At 33.7% G+C, this 22,276-nt stretch overlaps 1 long non-coding RNA gene across 2 annotated transcripts; it reads right to left on the bottom strand.

Annotated features, from left to right (window-relative positions):
- Window positions 1-1,980: 1,980 nt before the first annotated feature.
- LOC105376086 (uncharacterized) lies at window positions 1,981-16,904 on the bottom strand. Of its 2 annotated transcripts, none has more exons than XR_929945.1 (3): window positions 16,822-16,904; window positions 4,874-5,049; window positions 1,981-2,026 (listed from the first exon to the last, which is right to left on the bottom strand). It is a non-coding gene; the product is annotated as an uncharacterized LOC105376086 (long non-coding RNA). The 2 variants fall into 2 exon arrangements; XR_929944.2 differs by lacking the exon at window positions 1,981-2,026 and adding an exon at window positions 2,880-3,052.
- Between the last annotated feature and the right edge of the window lie 5,372 nt (window positions 16,905-22,276).

The raw sequence follows: 22,276 nt of genomic DNA, 5'->3' as shown, positions 1-22,276 counted from the left end.
CTCTTCCTCCATACACTCAGGTTTTTTTTTTTGTTTTTTTTTTTTTTTGAGATGGAGTCTCACTCTGTCGCCCAGGCTGGAGTGCAGTGGCGCGATCTCGGCTCACTGCAAGCTCCGCCTCTTGGGTTCACGCCATTCTCCTGCCTCAGCCTCCTGAGTAGCTGGGACTACAGGCGCCGGCTACCACATCCGGCTAATTTTTTTGTATTTTTAGTAGAGACAGGGTTTCACCGTGTTAGCCAGGATGCTCTCAATCTCCTGACCTCGTGATCCACCCGCCTCGGCCTCCCAAAGTGCTGGTATTACAGGCGTGAGCCACCATGCCTGGCCCAAATTCATTTTTTATACCACTGTGTTTGTTCTGCCTCACTGATGATGAGATCCTTAGTAATGGGTAAAATATTCTCCGTATCCCCAGGGTACAGCACTCAGTGGGTGCTCAGCATATGCAAGTGAGTAATACAAATGCCATTGCACTATCATTGATAATATATTCATTCTAAACAGAGACAGAGTAGCATATATAGAAATATTTCGTAATTGGGTTATAAAATAAAGTTTGATTTCTGTATATTGCCACTTAAATATTATATAGCCAAATTTAAATATTGACTACATTAAAGTTGACTTTTGCCATCTATAGCACTTGATTCCTCTAAAATATACACTAGGGATACAGAATCTTCTTACATTGAGGAGCATTATGAGAAATAGCTCTAAGAAACCCAATTTGGATCTGATGAATGGTATCTTTTGAGATTGTTGTTTACTGCTTTACTTGGTCTCCTATTTGAGAAGGTATGGAGAATATTTTTTTTCTTTTTTGTTTTCAAAACTAATGAATTTATATTGAATAATTGGTTTGCTATTTTCTCTTATATTCTCTTAATCATATATTAATTGTGTTTACCTCCGCTTTATTTTTTAAATTTTTTTTTCTAAAATGTGTGCCTAATTTTTACTAGGTGTTTTGTGCTTTCTGATATGGATTTCAATTATTAAATTTACCTGTTACTAGTATATAGTTTCTTTATTATTCCCTTGACTTTATGCTTGAAATAATCCTGGTCTCCATCTTATATCATATATATTTTTATAAGTCCCTCTAAATACTTTTTGGAATTATGACATTATCAATCATTACATTAACAAGTATGTTTGATTTACTCTTACAGGTGTTATACAAAGTAAATAAGATGTAAATGAGCAGGTATAAGTGAAAACATACTGTAAATTATCAGACATTTTGCTTACAAAAACAACTATTATTTGGTCCCACAGTTAATAGTAATACACCATCTTCAGTGATTCGTAAGCAAATTAGAGTCAAAGAGGGCTTACCTAACCAGTATTTTTGTGATTTTTATTTAATTAATAAATTAATACATTATTGAACAACTTTTAATTAGGCAAATTCTCAGAATTCTGAATATTATTATTATGATGAAAAATGCTACACATTTATCTAGCAACAAATCCACAACTAAAATAAAAATTTATGAATACATTTTAGAAAATCTCGCACCATCTCAAAAGAGCTACATTGAGGTCTTTACACAGGATTCTTAACTGTCATGCTATGGTATAAATAGGATAGTTTATGACCTTGCTCAAATTATCTGAAATTGAAATTATGGTTTCCTTAATTGAAGAATCAAAAAGTTCATCAACAACTAGGTTGCAGGAAGGTTTACACTGCATAATTCATTCATGTTAGACATTCATTAAATGTTGTTTCATTTTCTTCTTCCTTTAGCTAAATTAGGAATTATAGTCAGGTACCACATAGTGGCATTTCGGTCAGTGATGGACTGCATATATGAAGGCAGTCATTCAGCAAACTAAAGTTAATTTATTATTAAAGTTAAAATATGTTTTATAAATTTAGTGTAGCCTAAGCGCATAGTGTTTATAATGTCTACAATACCGTACAATAATGTCCTAGGCCTTTACATTCACTCCCCACTCATTCAGTGACTCACCTCGAGCAACTTCCAGTCCTGAAGCTCCATTCATGGTTCTTGCCCTGCACAGGTGGAGCATTATTTTAATCTTTAACAGTGTATTTTTACTGTACCTTTTTATATTTAGATACATGTAGATACACAGATACTTACCATTGTGTTAAAATTGCCTACAGTATTCAGTACAGCAACATACAATACAGGTCTGACACTTAGGGGAAATAGGCTGTCCCATATAGCCTAGGTGTGTCATTGGCTATACCATCTAGGTTTGTGTAAGTACACTCTGCGATATTTGCATCATGAGGAAATTGCCTAATAATGCATTTCTTAGGACAAACCCATGTTTAAGCAACACATCACTGTACAAGAATAACTTTTCAAGAGCACCCTGTTACTTTTGTTTTTCTTCTATAGAACTTCAAACATTTGGTTAAAAAATCTGTCATTAGTTGATTTGCCCAAGCTTTCTATTCCCAATATGTCTAATTCCTCAAAAAACTCTTTTTCTATGTTTGTCAACTTTTCCCACATTAGAGAAAAAAAAAGATTAACTTAATTTACTTTTTGGTGCAGAACACTTACCCCACATATGGAAGTTTATATCTTTTAGAAGAGAAGTTTTTTATTTTAATGAGATTTTTAGTTCTTAAATCATAAAATGGAATTACTGACCCAAAGAGGCTAAATTACCAATTGGACATAAAAGGGAACACACACACACACACTCACACACAAACAAACATACATACACTCCATACAAATATATGTTTATTTACAAATAGGAGATCATCTAAATGTGTAATGTATCTGGCCAGGCCAGAGAAAGATAAATGTGTCTATTTGAAAAAGTTACCAAAGTTGATTTTTCCCTTCGTAATGTTATTTTATTATTATTTAAACAGCTTTATTAAGATAAGGTGGATATACAGTAAATTGCACATATTTGATGTATACAAGTTGATGAGTTTGGACATATGCATATGCCTATGAAACCATCACCATAATCAAGGGAATGAACTTATTTATTCCTTTATCACCTCCAAGCCTTTTCTTCCTCTGCAATTTTAAAGGACGTGTTTTAAACCCTATACAGATAAAAATAGCACATCAGAAAGAAAAAAATAACTTCTTTATATGAGAATATAAAAAATATTTTCTAGATGCAGCAATTAAACCATGCTTAAATCAATTGCACATTTGTCTCATTTAGAGGTATGTTCAATAGCCATCTCATTTTAGAATGTTCCCATGTGACTTCTGACATGGATCTACATCAATTCAGTAAAACTGCACACTCTTTTATCAGAGATCTTCTATTTTTGCTTTCAGGCTAAATAAAGGCTAAATTAAAATTTTTCAAATTATACAATGGGTGTTCCCACTTACAAGGATATTTAAAATTTTTGGCTACCCCAAAATCAGATACTAGATATAGAGCTTACATAAAATTGTCCTATAGCTGCTTACTCTGTATTATAGAATGTTATACAATCATTTCTAAAATAGTTCTATTCTATTTTAGTTGTACTACTTAAATATTACATCTTCAGCTTTCAATGTCAATTAAACATCCTGTATGTGCTTATCATTTTAATGTCTATTTCTATGTTCAAAACTTCATTATTCAATTCTGAGATCTATGAATCAACAAGAACTTGCTAAAGGTGCCAAAAAAGAAAATAGTGTTAATGGAATCACTAATGTAGATGTAATTGCTTATTGGTACACATATTCAAATCAATTCAATTAAATTTTTTTTTCTTATAATCCTCATAGACACAAAGTATCTATGCAAGGTATTGTGTTTCTCACCAGCAGTGGTTCTCATCTAGGCAGACAATTTCATCCTCAAGGGTACATTTGGCAATGTCTAGAGATTTTTTTGGTTGTTACAACTGGGAATGGAAGTGCTAATGGCATCTAGTGGGCATAACATGGGATGTTACTACATATTAGAAAGTGCAGGACACCCCCCTTCTCCAACAAAAATTTATCTAGTCCAAAATGTCAATATCATTGAGGTTGGGAAACACTGTATTATAGTCTATTCAGGTAGATGATATAGATGCATGACTAACTATAGTAAAATTAACAATAATAAGGGTTCAAAGTATCATGAGGAATATTCTATTTACCTCCTCTAATTTAATCTTTACCTAAGGTGGGTATTATTATAATCACTTTATAGAATATGAGAAAGTCTAATATAGCTCATATAAAAAACATTAATACCTGCCAATCATTTTATTCAAAATCAATATTACTCTATACAGTAAAACTACTAGAATTTCAGCCACATGTTGTAAATGATGATAATGTCACATTTACGTCTCTTGCTACCAGATATACATAAGGTAAGAGAGCAAATAATTCACCAACTAGCTATATTTCCAGACAGAAAAGGGGTGGACACTGCCACATGAGTTCCTAAGGGCCATTATCAGGCCAGAGAGCAATGAACTTCTGGGGCGTTTACTTTGTCCTATGTACTTTGTCAAACAGTTTTATAATTATCTCATTTAATTCTAGCTACTACTGTGTAAGATATATATTATGTTGCCTTCACTGTTACTGGGAAAATGAAGCTTAGGTAATATGGCAGACTATCACAGAACCAATCAATAGCAGATTGGGTTTACATTTTAAATCTGTATGGTTACTAAACAATTCTCATTCTAGTATCATCTGATCTCTTCCCATTTTCTCAGAGGTGACATGTTTTACTGCTGAAACCAGTAGAGACTAATCCAGAGTAATAATAATTACAATGTTAAAACAATGCATAATTAATTTCCAAGAACACCTATATAAATTGTAAGCTATGAAGGCAATTATATTCATAATTAAAATGTTATATCTGTTAGGAATGGCTTTGGTTGCCATTAATAGTGGCCATTAATACTCACAGTGACCTAACCAATAGGGTTTCCTCCCATAACGAAAAGGCAGGAGGTAGGTAGTGCCAGGAATGTTTCAGTGGCTTAGTGAAGTCAGAGTCCTTGGTTAGAGCCTCTTGTATTCTCTTGGCCTTTTTCTTACAGTCAAAGTTGTTTGGAGCAGCTTCAAATGTTATATTGTCACACTACAGAGAGCAAGGAAGAGAAAGGCAGAAAGAACTTAATTTTTGTGTTATATTGCGGGAGAGGTAGAAAAAAGAAAAAACTTTTTCAGAAGCCATAAGTAGATTTCCATAGCATCTTGTAAGCTCACAAAGTCTTCCGTAGTTGCAAAGGAGGCTAATTTTTCTCTCCATCCATTCAAGGACCAGGTTGGGAAATCTCTTAATTGGCCAATACAAAGTGCAATAAAAAATGGCATTACAGGCTGTGGGGCCGGGTGGTTCACGCCTGTAAAGCCCAGAACTTTGGGAAGCCAAAGTAGGAGGATCGCTTGAGTCCAAGAATTCAAGATCAGCCTTGGCAACATGGTGAAACCACATTTTTCAAAAATAAAAAAGATAGCAGGGAGTGGTGGCATGCACCTGCACCTGTAGTCCCAACTACTCAGAAGGCTAAGGTAGAAGGTCTCTTAAGCATGAGAGATCTGGGATCACTCACTGGGCTGAGGTGGGAGGATCACTGGAGCCTGGGACATTGAGGCAGCAGTCAGCTGTGATCATGCCACTACACTCCAGTCTGGATGACAGAGCAATACTCTGTCACACACACACAGAAATGTTGGGGCACAGTTGTATTTTACAAAGCAACTTCACATGTTTCATCTCATTCTTTTATATTTATAATAGAATATAACAACAGAACATTAAGTAAACACCCTAAATGGTCAAGCATTTGTTTGTGATTTATTAGTTAACAGCAATAACTAATTCTTATTAAACATTTAATCTGCTCCAAATATCTTCTGTGTAAGTCTCATAACACTGTCAGCTAGGTAAATTTATAACATCTATTTATGTATTATTTTATTTTTAATAGAAACAATAATTGTATATATTTATGGATTACAATATGATGCTTTGATATATGTATACATTGTGGAAATAGTAAATCAAGCTAATTAACATATTTATGACATCACCTACTTATTTTTTAAAGATGTGAACATTTAAATCTAATCTTGTAGCAGCATTGAAATATTCAATATATGATTACTAATTATAGTAACCATGCTATGTAATATATCACTAAAATCTATTTCTCCTGTCTGATTAAAACTTCGTACCTTTTCATTAACATCTTTTTCCTCCTCCAAACCCTACAGCCTCTGAAAATCACCACTCTACTCTCTGCTCCTATGAGTTTGACTTTTTTTAGATTCTACATATAAGTGAGATCATATAGTATTGATTTTTCTGTGCCTGGCTTATTTCACTTAGCACAATGTTCTTCAGATTCATCCATGTTGTCACAGATGGTATGATTTCCTCCTTTTTAAAAGCTGAATAGTGTACCATTGCATTCCATATATACAACATACAGCCAATATTTTCTTTATCCATTTGTCTACTGATGAACATTCACATTGCTTTCCTATCTTGGCTATTGTTAATATTACTACAGTAAACAGGGCAATGCAGATATTTCTTTGACATACTGATTTTAATTCCATTAAGCCCCGCCTTACTCCTGGACTCAAACCTTCCTCCCACCTTGGCCTTGCAAAGTGCTGGGATTTACAGGCAGGAACCATCACAATTCCCCCACTCTCAGCCTGCAATGCCCCCCCTTTTTTTTTTTTTGGATAATTAAGAGATTTCTCAACCTTGTTCTTGAATGGATAGAGAGAAAAATTAGTCTCCTTTTATACCCGGAAGTGGAATTGCTGGATCATGGTAATTCTATTTTTACTTTTTGAGGACCTTACATACTGTTTTTCATAATGACTAATTTAAATTCCCACCAACAGTGTGTAAGGGTTCCCTTTTCTCCACATCCTCCCCAACTTTTGTTATATTTTGTCTTTCTGAAATACCTATTTTAACAAGTGTGAGGTGATGTTTCATTGTGGTTTTAATTTGCATTTCCCTGATTAATGTTGAGCATTTTTTCATATGTCTACTGGCCTTTTGTCTTTTTTTAAGAAATATGTAGTCAGGTCCTTTGCCCATTTTAAAAATTGGGTTGTTTCCTTCTATTAAGTTGCCAATTTTTAAAATATATTTTAGATACTAGCCCCTTATCATATGTATGGTTTGCAAATATTTTCTCCCAATCTGTTGATTGTCTGTTCACTCTGTTCCTTGTTACCTTTGCTGTGTAAAAAGTTTTAAATTTGATACAATCACATTCATCTTTTTTTGTTTATACAGAAAAATCATTGCCCAAACCAATGTAATGGAGATTCCCCTTATGTTTTCTTCTAGTACTCTTACAATTTCAGATATTAAATTTAAGTTTTTAGTCCATTTTGAGTTGATTTTTGCATATGGTGTGAGATAAGGGTTCAATTTTATTCTACTACAAGTGGATATCCAGTTTTCCCAACACTTTTTATTATAGAACCTCTCATTTCCCCATTGGGTGTTTTTGGCAACTTTGTGAAAAATTAATTGGCCGTAAATATGTAGGTTTATTTCTGAGGTTTCTGTTCCATCCCATTGGTACAAGTGTCTGTTTTTATGCCAGTAGCTTGTTGTTTTGATTACCATAGCTTTGCAATGAATTTTGAAATCAGGTAGTGTGATACATCCAATGCTTTTTTTCTTTTTGTTCAAGATTTCTTTGGCTATTCAAGGACTTCTGTGGTTCCACATAAATTTTAGGATTTAAAAATAAACTTCATGTAATTTTAAACAATTCCTGTAATTTTGATAGAATTTGCATTTAAATCTATAGATTGCTTTGGGTAGTATGAACATTTTAACAATATTAATTATTTTAATCCATGAATATAGTATATTTTTCCGCTTTTTAGTCTTCAGTTTCTTTCATCAATGTGTGTTTAGTATATATCTGTTTTATAGGTGAAAAAAATTTGCTTTAGCAAAATTAAGTAATTTGCTAAATTTATACGACTGGTAAGGGATGCAAATCCATCTGACTAACTATAAAGCTGAAATATTCATGGCTATATTATTATAATGACTTTTACATGGCTCATTTGTTTTTATTTCTCCACTGATCAGGTCTGTAAACACAAGCTGATATTACCATGGAATGTTTCTTTTAATATTATTCACTCTTTTATCATCATCATTATGATTGTCCTCAGCAGCAATAGAAACAGCACCATTGTCACCATCACAGACTCATACTGACATTACATAAGAAGTCAGAGATTCTAGGCTGGGCACAGTAGCTCATTCCTGTAATCCCAGCACTGTGGGAGGTCCAGGCAGGTGGATCACCTGAGGCCAGGAGTTCAAGACCAGCCTGGCCAACATGGCAAAACCCCATCTCTACTAAAAATACAAAAATTAGTTGGGCATGGTGGCAGGCACCTGTAATCCAAGCTACTCTGGAGGCTGAGGTGGGAGAATCTTGAAACCAGGAGGTGGAGGTTGCAGTGAGCAGAGATTGTGCCACTGCACTTCAGCCTGGCAACAGAGTGAGACTCCATCTCAAAAAAAAAAAACAAAAAAAAACAAGTCGGAGATTCTGACTTTGCCTCCCAACATTGCTATTACTTTGCTCTAACTTTTAAATTTTTGTATCCATGCTTCCATTTCTCTGCTCTGTCATTTCCACTGACCACCTGTATGGTCTTCCTTCAGTCCGTCTCTTCCATGTCCCTAGTTCAAACCCCTCAGGTGAAAACAAGCACCTATTTTCTTACAGAATATTTGAACATTATTTTTTGCCTCTTATTATAATCTATAAGTAAATCAATATTGGTCATAGCCTAGAAACTCTGTTTAATGAGAATATAGACTCCCCATGGTAATAGTAGAATAATTACTATGTTCAGTTTTGGGCAGATGCTAGAAATACTCAAGTCATGACCAATGAGGATGCAGAGAGAAAGAGCAAGAAGAGAGCTTGAGAGTGGGTGTTAACCTCTGAAACCTAGATGCTTTTAAGGCCAATGGCTGTCATTCAACACATACATTTGAATAAATAAAAACAAATAAAGAAAAGTTTAAACTAGAGGAGGGCAAAAATATATCACATCTGCAAGGTATTTATTTTTTAAACAAATATCAAAGCAATGAGCCACTATGTATCAAATGGTTTTGCTTATAGAAAACCAGAACTGTGATTTTTAGGTGGAAGATGAAGGTTATCATCAACACATAAGTATTTTCTATAGGTTCCCTAAGACATGTGATTTATTAATTTAAGAGGAAATAAATTCTCTTTATCAGAGAAACAAACTTAAAAGTACACATGGAAGGTAGGTTAGTATGTAATACAAATAAGTTGCAGATGAATGGAATAAGAATTCTTTCATCATTAAGTGGAGAAGAGGATGGAAATTTGGAGGATGAATTATACTGAAAAATAAGGGGTGATGACACTGTCAGGGAAAAGATGTTTGTTGACAGAGGACTGAGAACATAAAGTCAAAATTGAAAGCTTTAAATGCAGTCTGCAAAGATTTCAACACAATCATGTCTCACTTTGCTTTATAATCTTAAATATGGGCTTCATAGGAACAATATCAAATGCAGATTTCATCTTTTTTTTTTACCTTATCCATTTTTAAATGTATGGTTTTTCAGTGTTAAACATATTTACATTGCTGTGAAAGAGATCTCCGGAAATTTTTCATCTTGCACATCTGAAACCCTATACCCATTAAACAACAATTATCCTTTACCCTTGCCTCCAGCCCCTGGTAACCGCTATTCTACTTCTGTTTCTATGAACTTGACTAATTTAGATATCTCACATAAGTGATATCACACAGTATTTTTTTTCTGGTATCATATCTAAGAAATAATTGTCTAGTTCAATGCCATTTTGTCCTATGTTTTCTTCTAGGAGTATTATAGTTTCAGGTATTATGTTTAGGTCTTTCTTTTTAGTTAATTTTTATATATGATATATGGTACCAATCGAACTTTATTCTTTTGCATATAGATCTCAAGATTTCTGAGAACTCTTTGTTGAAGAGACTGTCCTTTCTACGTTGAGGGAGTGGTCTTGGCACTTTTTTAGATGATCATTTGGCCATAGACTTAAAGGTTTATTTTGGGATTGTCTTTTATTACATTGACCTGTTAGTCTGTCTTTATACGGGAACCACTGTGTTTTAGTTACCATAGCTTTGCGATATGTTTTGAAATTAGAAAGGTGAGTTCTATAGCTTTGTTCTTATTTTTCCCTGGATTGTTTTGGCTGTTTGGCATCTTTTGAAATTCCATGTGAATCTTAAGATGAATTTTTCTATGTCTGCAAAAAATACCATTGGGATTTTGATAGGGACTTTGTTGAATTTGTAGATCACTTTGGGTAGTATGTACATATTAACAATATTAACACTTTGAATCCATGAACATGAGATGTCTTTTAATTTATTTGTGTTTTAATTTATCTCAGCAATGTTTTGTAGTTTTCAGTATAAAAGTCTTTCACATCTTGGTTAGGTTTATTCCTAAATATTTTATTTGATGCTATTGCAAATGAAAGTTTTCTTAACTTTCAGAATTTTTATTGTTTCATTGTGTATAAAAATGCTACTGATTTTTTAAATCAATTTTCTATCATGGAACTTTGCTGAATTAGTTTATTGATGCTAACAATTTTTGTGTGTGCAGAATTGTTAGGGTTTTCTACATATGAGATCATGTCACCTATAAAGAGAGGTAATTTTACTTCTTTCTTTCCAAAATGGATAACTTTTAATTTATTTTCTCTTTGTTGTATAAGTGTTCTTGCTAGCACTTCCAATACTATGTTAAATAAAAGTGGCAAGACTGGGTATCCTAGTCTTGTTCCTAATCTTAGAGAAAAAGCCATCAGCCTTTCACCATTAAGTATAATGTCAGCTGTGGGTTTTTTATAAATGGCTTTTATTATATTGAGTTATTTTCCTTCTATTCCTAATTTGCTGAGTGTTTTCTTTAACCATAAAATAATGTTGCATCTTGCCAAATGCTTTATTTGCATTAATTGAGGTGGTTTTTAGCCCTCATTATGTTAATATGATGCATTATATTAATTGACTTTGTTATGTTAAGCCATCCTTGCATTTCAGGATTAAATTCCTCCTGTTCATGGTATATAATCCTTTTAATGTTGAATTTGGTTTTCTAGTATTATGTTGAGAATTTTTGCATTAATACTTTTCAGAGATATTGTTCTGTAGCTACCTTGGAGTGTCTTTGCCTGGTTTTGGCATAAGGACAATGTTGGCTTCATAGACTTAGCCTAGAAATGTTCCCTTCTCATCAATATTTCAGAAAAGTTTCAGGAAGATGGGAGTTAATTCTTTAAAGGCTTGGTAAAATACATCTAGTCCTACCCTTTTCTTTGTTTGGAGGTTTTTGATTACCAATTAAATCTTCTTACTTGTATTTGATCGGTTCAGATTTTCTTCTTTTTTATGATTCAGTATTGGTAGGTTGTGTATTTATAGGAATGTATCCATTTCTTCTAGACTATGCAATCGTTTGACCTACAGTTGTTCATAGTATTCTTCTGTAATGCTTTTTTATTTTCTATGGTGTTGTTTTAATGTCCTCTTTATTTATTGCTGATTTTAATTATTTGAGTACTCTCTCTTATTTATTGGTTAATCTAGATAAGGGTTTGTCAATTTGTTAATCTTTTCAAGAAAACCATTTCTTAGTTTGATTTTTTTCTATGGTTTTTATGGTTTCTGTTTTATTTACCTCTGCTCTAATTTTTATTATTTCCTTCTTTCTGCTAGCTTTGTGTTTAATTTGTGATTCTTTTATCTGGTTTCTTGCGGTGTAAAGTTAGACTGTTGATTTGAGGTCTTTCTTCTCTTTTAATATGTGTATTTACAGCTATAGGCTTCTTTCTTAGCACCACCATTGCTATGCCATAACTTTTGGTATGTTTTATTTTTATTTATGTTTATCCCCAGATACGTTCTCATTTTCCTTATGACCATTCATTGTTTAAGGATGTGTCATTTAATTTCACGTATTTGTGGATTTTCCAATTTTCTATGTGCTATTGATTTCTGGTTTCACTTCACTGTGATTAAAAAGACTATCTGTATGACTTGAATCTTGTTGAATTTGTTGACTTATGTGTCCTAGTATGTGTTTTATCCTGAAGAACATTCCTTGTACACTCCAGAATAATATATATTCTGCGGTTGTTGAGTGAAGTATTCTCTATATGTCTGTTAGGTCCAAGTGGTGTAGAGTGTTGTTCAAATTGTCTATTGCCATAATGATTTTCTATCTACTTGTTCATTATTAAAAGAGGGGTTTTGAAGTCTCCTATTGTTACTGTGTTGTCTGTTCCTCACTTCCATTCTGTCAAAGTTTGCTTCGTGTCTTTAGGAGCTCTAAGTATTGGAGAATAAAGATTTGTAATTTTTACATCTTATTAATTAATTGATACTTTTATTATTAATTAATTGCTCTTATTTGGCTCCTATAATGGGTTTTCATTAAGTACATTTTTTTGTTTTTGAGGCAGAGTCTCACTCTCTTGCCCGGGCTGGAGTGCAGTGGTATGATCACGGCTCACTGCAACCTCCGCCTCCTGGGTTAAAGTGATTCTCCTGCCTCAGCCTCTCAAGTAGCTGAGATTACAGGAGCATACCACCATGCCCGGGTAATTTTTAGTAGAGATAGGGTTTCACCCTGTTGGCCAGGCTGGTCTCGAACTCCTGACCTCAGGTGATCTGCCCGCCTTGGCCTCCCAAAGTACTGGGATTATATTAGTATAGCCATCCGTCTCGCTGTCTCTCTCTATTTTTTTCTGCTACTTGCAAGAAATGCCATTTTCAGTCTTTTACTTTCCACCTGTGTGTGTCCTTAGATCTATCATGAGGCTCTTGTAGACAATCTAGATATGGATCCCCCCTCCTTTCTTTTTTTTTTGGGATGAAGTTTCACTCTTGTTGTCCAGGCTGGAGTGCAGTGGCATGACCTTGGCTCACCACAACCTCCACCTCCCAGGTTCAAATGATTCTCCTGACTCAGCCTCCCAAGCAGCTGGAATTACAGGCATGTGCCACCACACCTGGTTAATTTTTGTATTTTTAGTAGAGACAGGGTTTCACCATGTTGCCCAGGCTGGTCTTGAACTCCTCACCTCAGGTGTGGATCCCCTTTTTTAATCCATTCAGACAATCTATGACTTTTAATTTGGGAATTCAATCCATCTATATTTAAAGTAATTACTGATAAAAAAAAGTACAGGTATTATTGCCATTGTGAATATTATTTTCTAATGGATTATAGGTTTTTTGTTCTTCATTTCTTCTCATTGCCTTCCTTTTCATTTTATTGATTTTTAACATTATGTACTTTAATTCTCTTCTCATTCCTTTTTGAGTACATTCTACAGATTTTTTTGTAGTTACCATTTTAATTACACAAAACATCTTAGTGTTATAGCATTCTATTTTAACCGAATTACAAACTTAATTTTAATCACATATAAAAACTCTACTACTTTATAGTTCCACATCCCCAATTTATATTACTAAGGTCACTAATTACTTTTTTATATATTATATACTCATTAATATAGTTTCATTGTTTATAATTGTTCTTGTCATTTAAATTCTATGCACCAAATTATTATGGTATAATTTATTATATTTGTCTGCATATTTGCCTTTATTGAAGAGCATTGTATGTTCATATTGCTTTGTGTTGCTACCTACCATCCTTTTCCTTCTATTTTAAAAGGTCCCTTTAGCATTTCTTGTATAGCAGATACAGTGGTGAAGAATATCCACAGTACATTTTTCATATTTATTAGTTATTTTTATTTCAATTTAATATTGTGTATTCATGTCCTTTGCCTGTCTTCTAGTGGAATGTTAATTTTAACAATATTTTTCATTTGCTGTTTACATAGGAAGTGTATTAAATTTTGATGTAAAACTTTATATATATTAGGCCGGGCATGGTGGCTCATGCCTGTAATCCCAGCACTTTGGGAGGCCGAGGCCAGCAGATCACGAGGTCAGGAGATCCAGACCATCCTGGCCAACGTGGTGAAACCCCGTTTCTACTAAAATACAAAAAATTAGCCAGGCATGGTGGAGCATGCCTGTAGTCCCAGCTACTCCAGTGGCTGAGGCAGGGGAATCACTTGAACCCAGGAGGAGGAGATTGCGGTGAGCCGAGATCACGCCACTGCACTCTAGCCTGGTGACTGAGCGAGACTCTGTCACCAAAAAAAAAAAAAGAAAAAAAAAGGGCCAGGTGCGGTGGCTCATGCCTGTAATTCCAGCACTTTAGAAGGCCAAGGTGGGTGGATCACCTGAGGTCAAGAGTTCGAGACCAGCCTGGCCAACATGGAGAAACCCCATCTCTACTAAAAATACAAAATTAGCTGGGCATGGTGGTACATGCCTGTAATCCCAGCTATTTAGGAGGCTGAGGCAGGAGAATCACTTGAAGCCAGGAGGCGGAGGTTGCAGTGGGCTGAGATCGTGCCATTGCACTCCAGCCTGCGCAACAAGAGCAAAACTGTCTCCAAAAAACAAAACAAAACAAAACAAAACAAAAAACACTTTGTATATATTGCACCTGAGTTATTACAATTTTAAATTATTTTTCCAAATAATGAGTTTTTATGTTTACCTTCCCACTCTACTCGGGAAGCAGTTGCATTAATGTAAGAACACTAGTTCCTGATATCCATCAGTTTGCCTCTTTTGTTTGTTTTCTTAACAATAATATCTTTCCTTATTTAAAAATATTTATATAGATTTTTTTTTCCTAAATAATATTATTTTGGAAATGTTACTTAGGTTTTGGAAATCAGGGAAGGCTAATAGATGTGTTCAGTACACCATCTTGAAACTAAAGGTCATGTTAATAGAGCTTATAAATATTTTGAAAGAGTATTTAATGGCAGACATAGCATTTTCACATGACCAAAGAAAAAACTAGGAGATACTGATTCTATGACTAAATCAAAGTTGAAAACATATCTTAAAAAGTTGAAACTATAATCCAAGATGTGAAAAAAATCAGTTTAAGATAAGGGATAATGCAATTTCCCTGAAGGCCCAAAATATTTGCTCAATTTTTGCACAAATGTATTATACAATTGGGGGTGACCGATTAGTGAAATTCTGGGAAAATCAATCACATATTTGTTTACTATAATGGTGTTTGGTTATTTCTAAAGGAAATAATGGCAGTTGTGGATTGGTAATGCGTTGATCAAGGAGATAATAATGTATACAATTTGGGGTATTTCATTCAGTTCTGAGACTTGTGTTTTAAGGTGTACCATGAAATACTGTAGAAAATATTCTTGAGTCACTTTTTAAGAGTCGAAGGTAAGAGGGCATAAAGAAAACTGGGGTATCTAGAATCCATATCATACAACTCTAATACTAAAGGCAGAAATCATACATCAAAATGTAATACACTTCCTATGTAAAGAGCAAATGAAAAATGTTTTAAAAATTAACATTCCACTAGAAGACAGGCAAAGGACATGAATACACAATATTAAATTGAAATAAAAATAACTAATAAATATGAAAAATGTACTGTGGATATTCTTCACCACTGTATCTTCTATACAAGAAATGCTAAAGGGACCTTTTAAAATAGAAGGAAAAGGATGGTAGGTAGCAACACAAAGCAATATGAACATACAATGTTCTTCAATAAAGGCAAATATACAGACAAATATAATAAATTATACCATAATAATTTGGTGCATAGAATTTAAATGACAAGAACAATTATAAACTATTAAACTATATTAATGAGTATATAACATATAAAATGTAATTAGTGACCTTAGTAATATAAATTGGGGATGCGGAACTATAAAGTAGTATAATTTTTATATGCGATTAAAATTAAGTTTGTAATTCGGTTAAAATAGAATGCTATAACACTAAGATGTTTTGTGTAATTAAAATGGTAACTACAAAAAAATCTGTTTTCCTCTCTTTTTTCTCTCACACAAATGCAGACACATAGGGCCATACATGAAGCACACGTAATTAAGCTGTCCCACAATGTGCAAATAGTCAAGGGTTTTATGACTTTGGAGAAGAGATTCCTGAATTTAAGACCATGTACTGGATCACCTCTCACTAGGAAATATGAATCCGTGTCATTATTATTTACCTTCTTAAGAATTATGTGGGCAAAATAGGTTACAATAATTTCATTGTCCGCTCTATGAGAATAAAGACTAAGGAGACCCTCAAGAAAAGATAACAATAGAATTGTGGAGATAAGAAATTGATATGAAGACCTGAATTAATAGAACCAAAAAGTTATATATAAATAAAACTAAAAAAAAGAAAAAAATGAAAACTTAAGAGATAACAGAGTTCCTAAAATTTAGAGTCACAGAAAACTAATTCTGAGAATATTGCTTCTGAACTCGAAGGACAAAACATGATATATTGGGAATTTATAATTATATTTATAAAACTTTGCTTTTACAATTATGTTTACATAATAAAACTTAAAAGTAACAGCTATATTAGAATTTAGTTTATTTTGCTTAATTTATTTTTCTCATTAGATCCTGGTCACTAGGATCTAATCCTGGTCACTAGCTAAATTGACGTATATTTTACTTTTTATATCTTGAATTTAGATGTATTAAAGTATCACGCGTGCTATACATCATGTATTTTAGATATTTAAAAATGCAAAAATTTTGTGATAATTGGACATTTATTCTCAATTCTAAGAAATATGTAGAAAGACCACTCTGAACTTTGTAAACTTAGATAAGAAAGAGACCAGAAGTGTTTACGTTTCTGTATATGTGCGTCCTTTTTAAAAATTTTACCCATCAGTAGTTACCCAGCATCACTTTGATTCCTTCTTTTTTATGTAGAAACACAGCTCAAAGCACCAAACCCATTCTCCAGTGATAGGGACAAAAGTAGGTTAGTAGAGTTGGTTGCTAGGAGACCAATGTCAGCGTCATCTATGACCTTGCAGAATGTAAAAAATAAGTATAGATTTATCGACCTCAGTGGCACATTGTCTGAATCCTCTGCTCTGACTGTCTTATTTCATTTCTGTCTATCTCACTATTTTCCTCTCTTTTTTCTCTCACACAAGTGCAGACATATAGGGCTGTACAACTCCCTTTCTTGATACCTCCTCATTTCTCAAAGTTATTACTTTGCTGCATTTAACCACATCATTGTCTCTCAGCTAACAAGGCACTCTATCAGCAGTGTCAGCAAATCCCAATCCTTTTAAAAGGTTGATTCTTCATACTATTGCTGTAAGAAATACAGAAATCAGTTCTACTGGGAACAGCATTATGAAAAATGTATAAACATCAGAAAGTAATTTTGCTGTCACATTCAAAATGTTTTCTCAAAGTTGCATCCCCAGTTTTCACAGTTGAGGTGGTTTAGGTTAAATAATCTCATGCAGGAGAGAACTCTAACATTCTTGTCATCTTCTTGGCATATATTTTTCTGAAATTGTTTACAATATGGATTTCATGGAGGAACAAGTAACAGCAGAGAAAGTTAAATTACGAAATAAAAGGTTCACATCCCAAACAATTTTTGTTTTAATGATTATAGGGATACATTGTCTCAAACAACCTATAAATTACATTGCAAATAAATGATTGATATATGTGTTTGTCTGAGGGGGTGTTATAATTATTTTCCTCCACAGGTTGAAATCTTCACTGGAAGGTATACGAGAGTGCAGCTCTTCTTCATCTGTAGAAAAAAGTTCTGTAGTTCAAACTTGCTATTGTAATTGTGTTGTTTAGTTGTTAAAAAACTAAAATAGGTGTGCCTATATCTCACCAGTACAAGTATCTGGATTTTGTAAACTATTGAATAAAAATAATATTTCAATTAAAATAAATTATAATTTATTTTCAAAATCAATTAATGATGATTAACAAACTGAAACCAGGTTATTTAAATGAACTGTAAAGCTTTCTGTCAGAATGAAAACTTCTGATTGTACAAAGAAAATTTCATACAAAGCTTAATATCTATGATAGGTGGGATAATAGAATTAAAAATAATTTATTTGCATTTCCTGTTTCTAATACATCTTAAAATATTGACTAATAATCAAGACAATAGTTACTGAAGCTTAGCATTTACATGTTTACTGAATTTCTATGAAAGAAAATATAATACATCAAATTCCTAATCTTGAGAGTGTAGAAAGATATTTATGAAGAATTAACATTTATATAATATTAACAAGTAACATTAACAGTATATAAACTGGTCCTTAGAAATGCATTTGTCTTATTTTCTCTGTGCTAAAGACATTGCTTATGTTCATAGTTACAGATAAATCATTTAGGACAGCAAAGTTATACTATTCTGTATAAAAATTTAGTGGTTTCCTCATGATGTTAGAAAGAGTTGTTAGAAAATTACTGAAGAAATGGATACTAAAGACTATTAATATTTTAACTAAAAATGGTGAGTTTTGAAATTTAAATCCAAACTTTATATGGCATACATACAAACCTAGGAAGCAAGGAAGAATTTGCTGAAATGGGACAAGGAAGCAGCTCTTGGATTTTTTTTAGGTGTAATCATTGAATTGTTACTTGTGAAATATACAAACCAGAAAAGGCTCTCTAAAACCACTTTAGAATTGTGGAGTAAGTTTTAGAGCAGAAGTCAAATGTGTGATCAGATGCTGAGATGAATAATAAAGATGAATTAGGGGAAGAGTGAAAAGTCAAGGATTGGGTGAAACATCTGTGGCAAAGCTTTTGCCAAATAATCTTATCATCTCTGAAAATAGGTTGTGTTTCCCTTCGTTCCATGAGTTGTTGGAGAAAAAATACAAATTGCATTTCAACATGAAATAAGTACTATTTGAAAATAAATACAAATTTTATTTCAGTAAAAATAAAATGATACATTCATTTGATAATTTTATTTATTCATTAAACAAAGAAACCATTGAGTGCATGTTATGTGCTAAACCTTTTTACATCTGACTTCTGAGTCTAAGGGAGAAGACAGGTATGTAAAAAGATAATTATAATGCAAAGTAACAAAAAGTGCTAACAAATGTAGGAAAAATTGCTGTGTTGGCTGGTAGATTTGCTTATAATTGGCATATATATTATTATGACAGTGGTCCCAGGGCATGTTTAAGATATTCCACAGAAACTAATATAGTACTTGGGATTTTGCACATTGTAAAACTTGGCAGATGGTGATTTGGTTCTAGTGATTAGCTCATTTTATGCAAAGAAACCTGAGAAAATTACCCTAGAAAACATACATTTATATTAAAAATCGTTTCTGCTCCAAAAATATTTTCCCCCCATAATTTATTTATGGATATTTCAAAATAATTAGAATAATTATAAACTTGATCTCATGTCCTATTGCCAAGTTTACTTCAGACCAGGACATCAACACACACACACATACAATCATCAGGAGTAATACCAAGAAAAAGAAAATGCCATAGAGGCTGATATGGTTTGGCTGTGTCCCCACCCAAATCTCATCTTGAATTGTAGCTTCCATAATTCCCATGTGTCGTGGGAGGGACCTGGTGGAAGTAATTGAATCATAGGGGCAGGTCTTCCCCATGCTGTTCTCATGATAGTGGATAAGTCTCAGGAGATCTGACAGTTTTAAAAAGGGGAGTTCCCCTACCCAAGCTCTCTTGCCTGCTGCCATGTAAGATGTGACTTTGGGCCTCATTTCTCTTCTGCCATGATAATGAGGCCTCTGAGTCCATTAAACCTCTTTCCTTTATAAATTACCCAGTCTCACGTATGTCTTTATTAGCAGTGTGAAAACAGACTGGTACATATGCAAATTTATAACAACCAGAAGCATCCATAATCACTTAGAATAGCAAAGCTAAGCAGTCTTACTCTGAATACGTGCACATACTTTACATGTTGATTCAGTGAGTCCCAAAGTTCTCAAAGGGTATGAAAAATATAAAATATGACAGTTGTATTTCAGAATTTATTTCTCTACACTAATATGCAAGTTAAAATTTATATAAATTATGTAAATAATTACAACATTACTCTTCATAAAGTTTGTAAATAATTTTTGGGAAAAGCAGTAGATTGTCATGGGTGCACAGAGCTAAAGGGACCATAGTTTTTCCTCAATATATTTTTTCTAACAACTAATCATTCAAATATCCTCCTCTGACATAAGATATAAGTATAAAGTATCATGGAAGTTGCTCTCCATGGTATTTTATCTATAGAAAATCATTTACGAAAGCAAAATCTAAGTAATAATTTCCCTCTTTGGCCCCTCCAACTCGCAGGTGCAGCTTCTTAGGGTCAGAAAAAATAAAATACACCAGGAAGAAATGTATGCTATTAATGCACTCTCTCATTAGCCTCTGCTTCAGGTCTTACTTCACACTTTGTAATTATCAGAATTTTCTATACTTCTCTGGAAAGCCAAAAATATCTACAGGTTTAATAAGATGGACATTTAAAATGAAGCTTCAAAGTTTTTCTTACAAGCTAGAAGAACATTTTTGTGAAAATATTAGGTCTAGGATTATTTTTGGGTTCCTGGGGTTTACTAAGTTACAAGTTAATGTTAGAAAACTGAAGTAGGACACTACACTAAGCATGATTAGGTAAGAAGGAAAGTACAATTCAAGGCAGTGAGAAAAGGTGACCAGCATACAATGAAAATACCTCTCAGTTTTGCACAGTTGTTTCTCACTGAATTAGCAGACCCATGACTATTATCTCCTGCAACTTCCCAGTTGGTCTCTAGGTATGTCAACTCTTGGAAAGGCTGATGGCCCTACAATCGCAGAGCTAAAGTGGATCTTGTATATAATTGAAACATTTAAGGGTGACTTAAATGGCTGCCTTTGAGCCTATAGGGAAAGCACAGCAAATACAGGCATAATATGGGATAGCCCCAGTGGTCTGGTTAATAAAACAAAGGACATTGCGGAAAGTTAGTTATCAGAGACCTTGAAAGCTTTGTACAACAATGCATTACACACAACAGCCATTTTAGCTTGAAAATCGCAGGATTAAGCAAGTCTGGAAGGTTTAAGAAACTTAAAAAAGAAACCCCAAGGTATCAAGCAGAGATTCACAAGGGCCTCTTTGGGTGCCCTATTGATTCCGCTAATTCAACAAGGGATAATTGGAGAAAGTTACTGGACACATTTAAAACTCCCTAAAGCACAAGGTTTCTATCAAATACTGGCCTATGGGCAGAAGGTCTGCAAAAGACTCTTGAAGCTTTCAAAGCAAAATGAGCATTGGAGCTTTAACCCTCAAAGTGTTTATATGCAGAGTCTTTGATTCGCCAAAGGGGAAAAATAATTGTACTTCTGAACCAAGTAGTTTTCGCCTATAACAAATCTACAAAAAGGATCATGATCTCGTTTTGCTTGTACTAATCCAAATAAGAGACAATTCTGCCACAGAATGATGCTTTGAAACATAAATAACTTTATTTTTTTATACTATATTCTGAAAATTAAAATCCAGTGGGGGTGTGTGACTATTTTTTTTTAATTGTATGGGCTTGTAGTTAGGACACATTTTTAGTTATGTGAGTGGGACTTTTATTCCCTTTGTGAGTTTGCATAATATCTTTGTTATGGCAGATTTTTAAAAATGTTTTTTCTTATTTTTTTGTTAAGGATTGGTGAAGTGCTAATATTTATTCCACTCCTGTCTTCTGAGCTCTAACCAAATTGAGAACAACTACAAAAAATGAGGTGAGAATTTAAATATTAAATGTTAAAATACGTTCTAAATATTGTTAGTATTATATTAGGTGAAAAAGTTTGGGCTTTGACAGCAAAGTAAGACTTCCTATTTCATCTAGCTTTCCCAACTTGACCTTGGAGCGTTTTTGCTGGGAGTGTTGAGCAGTGTTGGGAGTTTGTTTGAGCAGGGATTTACCTGTTGAACCACATAGAGAATAACCTTTCATCCACTCTAGAATTTAGCAAGACAGGGCTGAGAGAATGCTGCCTCATTCTAATTCATGCAGACTTCCTGCGGTAAGTGCAGGAGTGGTGAGAGTGAACACAAATCCCTGGTGGGCACACTGATGATAAGGAAAGTGAAAAAGAGAAAACTGAAGCCAAGAATGTGGATCACCTGCAAGCTGTAGCCTTTGCCCCAGGATACTAATTAGAAAAGTCACCCATCTTCCTGTGGGGCCGAGGAAGTACATAGGATGGAGAAAATGGCGGAAGCTTCTTCCCCAGTACTTGCCTAACACGATGGCAGAATTGGCAAAGTTCTTATTTCATAGGTCAAGGAAGGAATGTGGGA

This window comes from Homo sapiens, chromosome 9, assembly GCF_000001405.40.
Source record: "Homo sapiens chromosome 9, GRCh38.p14 Primary Assembly".
Taxonomy (NCBI): domain Eukaryota; kingdom Metazoa; phylum Chordata; class Mammalia; order Primates; family Hominidae; genus Homo; species Homo sapiens.
Note: the sequence above shows the minus strand (reverse complement) of the source record. Positions and strands in the feature narration are given on the sequence as shown.